This window comes from Homo sapiens, chromosome 16 (assembly GCF_000001405.40).
Source record: "Homo sapiens chromosome 16, GRCh38.p14 Primary Assembly".
Lineage (NCBI taxonomy): Eukaryota > Metazoa > Chordata > Mammalia > Primates > Hominidae > Homo > Homo sapiens.
In genome coordinates, this window is record NC_000016.10 from 25544687 (window position 1) to 25554864 (window position 10178).

General features: G+C 44.0%; 2 annotated features.

Moving 5' to 3' along the window:
- Positions 8709–9908: an enhancer, noted in NCBI's record as "MED14-independent group 3 enhancer chr16:25564716-25565915 (GRCh37/hg19 assembly coordinates)". NCBI's record gives its function as "activates an origin of replication core promoter dependent on BRD2, BRD4, P300/CBP and CDK7 cofactors, and independent of MED14, by STARR-seq in HCT116 cells {active_cell/tissue: HCT116}" and the evidence as "EXISTENCE:reporter gene assay evidence [ECO:0000049][PMID:35650434]".
- Positions 9402–9696: a silencer, noted in NCBI's record as "tiled region #12332; HepG2 Repressive non-DNase unmatched - State 11:FaireW". NCBI's record gives its function as "represses a minimal TATA promoter and a strong SV40 promoter by Sharpr-MPRA in HepG2 cells {active_cell/tissue: HepG2}" and the evidence as "EXISTENCE:reporter gene assay evidence [ECO:0000049][PMID:27701403]".

Below are 10178 nucleotides of genomic sequence, written 5' to 3' on the forward strand. Positions count from 1 at the left end.
GGAATGGCATTCAGGCCAGCGTAAGGACACATTTCATCTTTGAGGGCAGCAAAGATCCCCTGGTGGCCATCAAGCAGACCACCCGGAGGCAAAACTCCTTAGCTGTGGAATTCAGAAGTAATTAGACTTTTCTATTATCTGAAACAGACATCTGGTACCAGGCTTCTTTTCTAAAATGTGTAAGAAACTAGAATTTCTATACATCTCTGCATAGCATGCATGTCAGAACTCATTGTGCAAACCTTGCTGACATCAAGGCACCAAAATGTCTACAAATGTAATCATTTATCATGACCAACATGGATGATAGGGCCCAAATTACCCTTAGGCTCTGTATTAGTTCATGCTCATGCTGCTAATAAAGACCTACCTGAGACTGGGTAATTTATAAAGGCTAGAGGTTTAATAGACTCACAGTTCCACATGCTTGGAGAGGCCTCACAATCATGGCTGAAGGTGAAGGAGAAGCAAAGTCACGTCTTACATGGTGGCAGCCAAGAAAGCATGTGCGGGGAACTCCCCTTTATAAAACCATCAGATCTTGTGAGACTTATTCACTATCATGAGAATAGCATGGGAAAGATCCACCCCCATGATTCAGTTACCTCCCACTGGGTCCCTCCCATGACATGTGGGAATTATGGGAGCTACAATTCCAGATGAGATTTGGGTGGGGACACAGACAAACCATATTAAAGTAAAAATCCACACCATGGCACCCTCAGTCCTCTCTTCCTGGGGCACCTTGATGCCCTCTTCTGCAGGGTTCTTTCTTTTTAACAAAACCTATACTGTTGTTGGGAAATTCTTCTTACTACCGGTGAGCCAATCACTTTCCATTGCCAGGGCTCTGATGCCTCTCCTGGTAATCATCATCAAAGTCCCATGGAACAGGCAGGTCCAAGATTATAATTTCCATTTGGCAGATAAGGAAACTGAGGCTCCGTCTGAGTTTTCTTTTGCTGCTATAACACATTACCATAAACTCAGTGACTTGAAACAATACAGGTTTATTATCTTGCAGTTCTAGAGGGCAAGAGTCTGGAATAAACCTTACTGAGCTAAAATCAAGGTGTCACAGGCCTGTGTTTCCTCTGGAGGTTGTGAAAGAGGATCTGTTTCCTTTCCATTTCCAGCTTCCAAAGGCCACCTGTATTCTTTGGCTGATGGCCCCCTTCCATTTTTTTTTTTGAGACAGAGTCTTGCTCTGTCGCCCAGGCTGGAGTGCAGTGGCATGATCTCAGCTCACTACAACCTCCACCTCCTGGGCTCAAGCAATCCTCTTACCTCAGCCTCCCAAGTAGCTGGGACTACAGGCACATGCCACCGTGCCTGGCTATTTATTGTATTTTTTTTATAGAGATGGGGGTCTCACTATACTGCCCAGGCTGGTCTTGAACTCCTGAGCTCATGTGATCCTCCTGCCTGGGCCTCCCAAAGGTCTGGGATTACAAGCATGAGCCACCGTGCCTGGCCTCCCCTTCCATCTTTAAAGCCAGCAGCATAGCATCGTCAACTTTCTCTCTGACTCTGACCCTCCTGCCTACTTCTTTCCTTTATAAGGACACTGGTGATTGTATTAGGTGCACCCTGATAAAGCAGGATAATCTCCCATCTCACATCTGAAAAGTATTTTTTGCCGTGTAAAGTAATATATTTACAGGTTCCGAAGATTAGAACATGGGCATCTTCATCCACTGTGCAGCCAATCACAGGCTTATAAGGTAGAAGCCCTGCAACCACTCCTTCACAGCTCAGCTGGGATTTTAACTGAGGTTAATGGTTCTGAATTAAGAGACTTCAGATAAGAATGCTGGCTGTCCTGCAGAGTTGCTGTGTGACCTCAGTTAGGCCTCTCTGACCTTCTCTCCTTTTCTGTAAAATGGGGGTGTGGTTTTTTTGTTTTTGTTTTTTTACAGACAAGGTCTTGCTCTGTTGCCCAGGCTGGAGTGCAGTGGCACAATCATGGCTCACTGGAACCTTGAACTCCTGGGTTCAAGCAATTCTCCAACCTCAGCATCTCCAGTAGCTGAGACAACAGGCATGTGCCACCATACCTGGCTAATTTTTAATTTTTTTGTAGAGTTGGGGGTCTCATTATATTGCCCAACTGTTCTCGAACTCCTGGCCTCAAGTGATTCTCCTGCCTCAGCTTCCCAAAGTGCTGGGGATATTGTTTTAATGATTCAGTGAGACACTGGCTTTAAGTGTCTAGCACAGTGGCTGGCATGGAAAATGAGTGATGACAGGCATTTCCGGTGTTTTTAACAGCCTTGAACTTGCCCTTTTGAACATTTGGCTCAGGAAAAACAGGGGAAGAGCCAATGGCATATTGGAGTAGAACGAGCTTGGGCTTTGACTTAGCCATATGATGATAAAGAACTTGAACTTTCTCTGAGTTTCAGTTTCTTTATTCATAAATGAATGCAGGAGGCCCTTCTGGCACAGAATTAAGCAGAAAACGTCTGCCTCATAGTTGGTACCCTCAAGAAATACAAACTTTTTCTCTCACTGCCTTCCATTCATCCTCCTTTCTAATTGATTTCCTTCACTTTTTCTTTTCTCCGTCTCTTCCTTTCTTCCTCCCTCCATCTGGCCCTTCTTTCTTTCCTTCCTCCCTACTTCCCCTCCTTTCCTCTCTCCCTCTCTTCCATTTCCCATATGTGAGACCCCTATTTAAGAGCAATTGGCCTATCTCAGGGACTTCTGGTGTCTGCTCTTGGTCTCCCCTCTTATGTGTCACGGCAGCCTGTACTTTGCATTCATCAGTTTCTTAGTCGTACAATCTAAATGCTAATGACCCCTGCCCAACCTTCCCTCTTATCCTCCTCCACTAACGCGTGTCAACACACCCTAGAATAACTGTACAGACGCAAACAGGATCCACTCTCCCCACCCCATCCCGTGTGCAGGAAGTGGACTCAAAACCGTGCCATCGTTGGAAACCTCTAACGGTCCAGAAAGGGGAGGCACAGTCTTTTGTAAGGAGCCCCCAGAGCTCCTTTCCTCCCTAGCAGGGCCCTATCTATTGAGCTGGCTGATGCCCACGCTGATGCCCTCATTCCCTTTCATGCACTGGTGGTTTTCAGTCTGATATTGAAAGTGCAATATGCTTGCCAGTAATGATGTCTTATTGGAGTGTAAAGATTTTCCCATTTTGCTGCTTTATCCTGAATTTAAAGTATTTTGAAATTCACTTACATCAGAGAGGACCAGAGGCCCGACGTTTGCTGTAAATAAACTCATGCCTTCAAAGGTGTTATCTATGAAATGCGAGATGGGATAGGTTACTGTTTTTGTGGCTCATGCACCAGCTAGCAGAATTGGTCACAGAGCTTTTCCATCATGAGAACTGGCAGCCTCTTTTCTTCCAGGTGTTGGTCACGGGTGTGAGGACACTCTGACCTTGTGTTGTGAATCTATTCAATTGAAGTTTGTCCAACATGTGGAGTTGGAGGATCATTTAGCTCTTCAGTCTCTGCTTGGAAAATCTGAAAACCCTGAAGCTACAGCAGAGACTAACAATATAAGGGATTCAAGCAGGGTTTGGTGGGGTGGCTGTTATTAGTGGAGTGGCTCCTGTGCACACAGCACTCTGCCAAGGGCTTTTTGCAAGTTATCTTAACTAAACCTCTCAACAACCCTGCTAGATTGTTGCAAGACCACCCAGACAGTTAGATGTTCCTGAAACTTTCTTGCCATCTACCATCATGATATTCATAAAAAATAAATCAGGAAAACTTCTCACATAAGTTGCAGTAGGTGTCTAGATTTACTAATGTGTTACAGTGACCCAGTCATGACCAGAGATTCCTTGGACCCAAAGGCAGTGTTCTCTATAGTCACAGTTGTTAAGAGCCTGCACAGGCTGGGTGCGGTGGCTCACGCCTGTAATCCCAGGACTTTGGGAGGCCAAGGTGGGCAGATCACCAAGCTCAGGAGTTCAAGACCAGCCTGGTCAACATGGTGAAACCCCGTCTCCACTAAAAATACAAAAAATTAGCTGGGCATGGTGGCGTGCATCTGTAGTCCCAGCTACTCGGTAGCCTGAGGCACGAGAGTCACTTGAACCCAGGAGGCAGAGGTTACAGTAGCTGAGATCGCACCATTGCACTCCCGCCTGGGTGACACAGTAAGAGTCCATCTCACTCAAAAAAAAAAAAAAAAAAAAAAAGAGCCTGCACACTGGGGTGCATCTTGGCTCAGCTACTTCCTAGCTGTGTGACATTGGACCAGTTATTTAAACTCTCTGGGCCTTAGTCCCCACATTTGTAAAACGTGGATACTAATGGTACCCTCCTCATAGGGTCGTGTGAGAATTACATGAGTTCTTGTATGTGAAGCACTTAGAAGAGTAGCCACCAATGGTAAATGCTGTATAAATATCCACCAACTAAAACCTTTAAAAACGGCTTTACCTCCCCTGTGACGAAGTTCTGAGCTGTCTCCCACAGGTCTGGGTCACTGGTATGCCTCAGATGACAAGCAGTAGAAAATGGAGCTCAGGTTCAGAAGGATGGGAGGGTGGAAAAAGATGAGAGATTCCTTAATGGGTAATGTACTTTATTCTGGGAATGAATATGCTGAAAACTCTAACTTCATCACTACACAATATATCCCTGTAGCAAAATTTCACCTTCTACTGCATACATTTACACACACACACACACACACACACACACACACACACACAAAATCATGTTTAAACCTAATCTTTACTGTGGCGGTAGTAAGGGGTAGGGCTTTAGGAGGTGATTGTTTCATGGAACTCCACCCTCATGGATGGGATTAGTGCTCTTTTTGTTTTGTTTTGTTTTTTCTTGTTTGAGATGGAGTCTCTCCCTGTCACCCAGGCTGGAGTGCAATGGTGCAATCTCGGCCCACTGCAACCTCTGCCTCCCTGGTTTAAATGATTCTCCTGCCTCAGCCTCCCTAGTAGCTGCGATTACAGGTGCCCGCCACCATGCCCAACTACTTTTTGTATTTTTAGTAGAGATGGGGTTTCACCATGTTGGCCAGGCTGGTCTCGATCTGACCTCATGATCTGCCCATCTCAGCCTCCCAAAGTGCTGGGATTACAGGCATGAGTGACTGCGCCTGGCAGGATTAGTGCTCTTATAAAAGAAGCCAGAGGGAGCTGGCTCACCCCTTCCACCATGTTGGGGTGTGGCAAGAAGGCACCATCTCTGAGGCAGAGAGAGAGACCTCACCAGACACCAAATCTGCTGGCATCCTCATCTTGGACTTCACAGCCTCTAGAGCCATCAGCAATAAGTTTCTGTTGCTTATATATTACCCAGCCTAAGGTATTTTGCTATAGAAGCCTGAATAGACTAAGACAGGACTCTATCCCCCAACATCATTACATGGCTGTCTCATTATTCAGAACTTGAACCAATGCCATTTCCTCACTTCCTCAGAGAGGCCTTCCTTAGTGTTCTGGTCACCTCACACACTCATCACATTAAACTTCTGCCACTTTTAGAGGGTGGGAGAGATTAGATGGGTCAATCCGTCTGTTAACTATTTATCGAAATCTTCACTATGTACTAGGCAATGGGGATTCAGTGATTAGCAAGATATATTCCCTTCTTCCCAAAAGAATTTATGTTTTGGAGTGGGAAGGCAGGAAATAAACAGATAAATATAAACATCTGAATACAGTAATTTCTGGTTTAGTTGAATACTTTAAAAAGGAGCCTTGTAACATATGAAAAAAAGCTCAACATCGCCGATCATTCGAGAAATGTAAATCAAAACCACAATGAGATACCATCTCACACCAGTCAGAATGGTGATTATTAAAAAGTCAAGAAAAAACAGATGCTGATGAGGTTATGGAGAAATAGGAATGTTTCTACACTGTTGTTGGGAATGTAAATTAATTTAATCAATGTGGAAGACAGTATGGCAATTCCTCAAAGGTCTAGAACCAGAAATACCATTTGACACAGCAATTCCATTAATGGGTATATACCCAAAGGAATATGAATTATTCTCTTACAAAGATACATGCATATGTATGTTCTTTGCAGCACTATTCACAATAACAGAGACATGTAATCAATGCAAATGCCCATCAGTGATAGACTGGATGAAGAAAATGTGGTACATATACACCATGGAATACTATGCATCCATGAAAAGGAATGAGATCATGTCAATTGCAGGGACATGGATGGAGCTGGGAGCTATTATCCTTAGCAAAGTAACACAGGAACAGAAAATCAAACACCACATGTTCTCACTTATAAGTGGGAGCTGAACAATGGGAACATATGGACACAGGGAAGGGAACAACACACACTGAGGCCTGTCGGGGTTGAGGGAGGGAGAGCATTAGAAAAAATAGCTAATGCATGGTGGGCTTAATACCTAGGTGATGGGTTGATAGGTGTAGCAAACCACCATGGCACACGTTTACCTGTGTAACAAACCTGAGCATCCTGCATATGTACCCTGGAATTTAAAATAAAAATAAAAATTTAAGTTTAAAAAAAGAGGCTTGTACAACTATTAGTCTTTCTGGAAAATTTCTGGACTGTCTTATATGGCCTCAATATCTATTTCTAAAGTCTCACTGGAGTGCATAAGTAGTATGTTACTCTTGAGTTGGTTTTTTAAATGGGAGTCATTGGGCAGAATACTTTCGTTCTTGTCAGAAGTCTCAAGCTAATTTCATTGAGAAGGGGTCTTGGGCTGTCAGGCCATTTCTTGATCTAATATTCAAGCACAGTGCTATTGGTGGTGGAGGGAGGAGGAGGATGGCCTAACAAGTCTCTCTCTATATAGCTTTCCTGGAATCAAGGCATGGAGCATACCTCAATAACGATCAGAAAGAGAGAGATCTGATCTCAGCAAGGGGAAATAAATAAATAAATAAAGTGTTAGGTTCGTGCAAACGTAACTGTCGTTTTTGTCATTAAAAGTAATGGCAAAAATTAAGCAATGTTATTACTTTTAATGACAAAAATCACAATTACCGTTGCACCAACCTAATATTTTTGCAGAGAAATAGTGCCCATCTGAGAGTCCAGCAGTATGGGAACATCCTGAATATAAATTCAGGATGGCTTGCATCATTGATAAGAATCTCTTGAGTTTACACAGAACTTTTCACATATGCACCTGAGTCTGGCTTAGGTTTGTGCACTTGTTTCTTTTGAGCTTGTGTAGTTATATTTTATACTGCCCTGGAGAAGGCAGAAGAGTTTGTATGTACACAGAGGAAAGCACAGTGTTTTTAACAATAACAGTCTGCTCAGCCTGTATCTTCCCCCCACTTTGGAGACAGGGTCTCACTCTGTCGTCCAGGCTAGAGTGCAGTAGTACAATCACAGTTCACTGCAACCTCCACCTCCCAGGCTCAAGCCATCCTCCTGCCTCCTACTCAGGAGGTTTAATAACCTCCTAAGTAGCTGGAACTACAGGCATGACACCACCGCACCCAGCTAATTTTTGTAGTTTTGGTAGAGACAGGATTTCACCATGTTGCACAGGCTGGTCTCAAACTCCTGGTCTCAAGCAATCCACCTGCCTTGGCCTCCCAAAGTGTTGGGATTACAAGTGGGAGCCATTGTGTCCACTCAGCCTATATCTTAATGATGAGGATGGATCCCTTGACACGTGGAGCCCATTTTCTAACAGGTGTCAGGGGACTCCTCTTTGCAGGACTCCTGGCTCTCAATTGGATATAAGCTTGCTATGGACTGAATTATGTCCCTTAGAATCTGTATGTTGAAACTCTAACCCCCAATGTAGTAGTACATAGAGATGGAATGGGGCCTTTGGGAGATAATTAGGTGTAGATGAGGTCGTGAGGCTGGGATCCTCATGGTGGGATTAGTGACCTTATAAGAAGAGATACCAAAGAGCCATCTCTCTTTCTCTCTCTCTACCATGTGAGGAGCAGCTGTCTGCAAGCCAAGAGGAGAACCTTTGCCAGATCCCGACCATGCTGGTTCACTGATCTCAGACTCTAGCCACCAGAACTATGAGAAAATACATTTATGTTGTCAGCCACCCAGTTTATGGGATTTTGTTATGGCAGCTGGAGCTAAGAATTCAGGCCGGGTGTGTTGGCTCACGCCTATAATCCCAACACTTTTGGAGGCTGAGGTAGAGGTTGCTTGAGCCCAGGAGTTCAAGACCAGCCTGGGCAACATAACAAGACCCTGTCTCCACAAAAAGTAAAAAATTAGCTGGGTGTCATGGTGTGTGCCTGTAGTCCCAGCTACTTGGAAAGCGGAGGTGGGAGGATCACTTGAGCCTGGAAGTTTTAGGCTATAGTGAGCCATGTTTGAGCCACTACTTCTCTGGAACAGGACCTGTATCAAAAAAAAAAAAAAAAAAAAGGCAGAACTCAAGTCAGCTAACATTTACAGTGTGTCTTTCATGCACCAGGCAATATGCTAAGCCCTGGAGACATGAAGAAAAAGAAGATTTAATCTTTGCCTTAAGGGAAATCATAGTTTAATAGGAAAGACTGCAAGTTAGATTACGTTATCACATAGAATTGTTATTTGAGTACTTAATTCCAATAGTAACTGAATCCAAAAGCCTCTTCATATAAAGCCCAGGTGGTAAATTTCCAGATTTTTTCCATATAAGCAAGAGTTATTCCTTGAGAGCGCATAAAGGAGGCAGTCCCCATGAACCCCCTAGATTTTTTTGTCTCACAAATAGACCTAAGATAGCAAATACGGCAAAAGTTTCTTAAGAATGAGACCCTTTTAAGACAAAGTTCCCCTTAAAGCTTGACATGTTCAGAATGACAAGTGTGCTGCTTAAAATCTTACCTCTCAGATTCCCAATCTTTTCAGACTGGCCACCTGATGTTGTTACAGTCTTGCCAGTGCACCACAATAAAGCAGTCTCTCTTTGGAAAGTTTCACTCAGAGTTAATTGTCTCAGGACCAAGAGAATTAAGGAGCATGGACACAAAAGGTGAGGTTGAAGTGAAAGTTTAGTAAGTGAAAGAAGTATGTTCTTTGCCACAGAGAGGGGACATGGAAGAAGGCTGCCATTTTTACAGTTGAATACAAAGGCTTTTATAAGAAACCAAGGAGGGCTGGGTGTCTCATTTGCATAATGCATGAATTTCTGGTAGCTCCACCCCATCCTTCTAGTGCGCATGTGGGCCCTTAGCTCAAATTACTCCATATTGCTTTGCTCCTCTTACTGCACATGTGTCAGGGAATGGAATTTTCCATTGCAGGGCATGTCTGGGCAAGTCACCTGTGTAGCCTTTCTTATCTGTGCAGCTGTGGACATGTCTTAGGCAAGCCCCCCTGTGCAAGTTTCTTTATCTGTGTCTGCAGGCAGTTCTTTTGCTTGAACTGAGGAACCACCCTAGCTGCCCCCCGACCAGCTTCTTCCTTTCTCCTCTCTCAGTGTAACCCCAAAAATCATGCCCTCCAGATAGCAGAGATTAAGAAGAAGTATCTGCACTTAATTACAAGTCAAGATCTCAAGGACATAAAACAAGAAGAGTGGAAAATGTCATCTGGTTTTCATTTCAGGGACCCATCGCAAAGTTTATCTTAACAGACACAGGTCTAGTCAGAACTGCAAAACTGACTTATCTGCAGAGCCAGCTCAAACTGCAGGCTTATAGGCTTTCCAGGTCCATGTTCTACTCCATGCCCCTCTTTACAACAGAACAACACAGAAGGACAAGGACAAAGAAAAATGGCAACAACAAAAAAAGGCTGTTTCTGAGGGGAAAGGGATCAAACGATATGAATATTCATACCACAAAGTACCAAAAGTACACCAGAGACATCACACCCCAAGACTAGCCACACAGATCCTTTTTTTGCCGTTAATCAAACCTTGCAGAGGAGACAGATAGTGATTTTTACTGTTTGCTCAACTGGATTGCCCAGAGAACCAGGCCAGGAGCCTGGCTGGTAAGAAATTCTTACACTTTTGCCACGGTGTCAGTTTCCTGGGTTCCCCTTGCTGTGGCTTCCTGAAAAAAAAGAACAATTTTGATGATCTTGCTCACAGTGCCATAACTGTGGGGCCCAGGGCCCTTTGCCCCCTAAAGTTTTGCTGAAAGTTACTGAGGCAGATTGATGAATAGAAGAGTGGCATACAAATTTATTTCACGTGTATACACAGACGCCTTCAGAATGAAGACTCAACTTCCCAAATAGGCTGTAAAAGGAAGATAA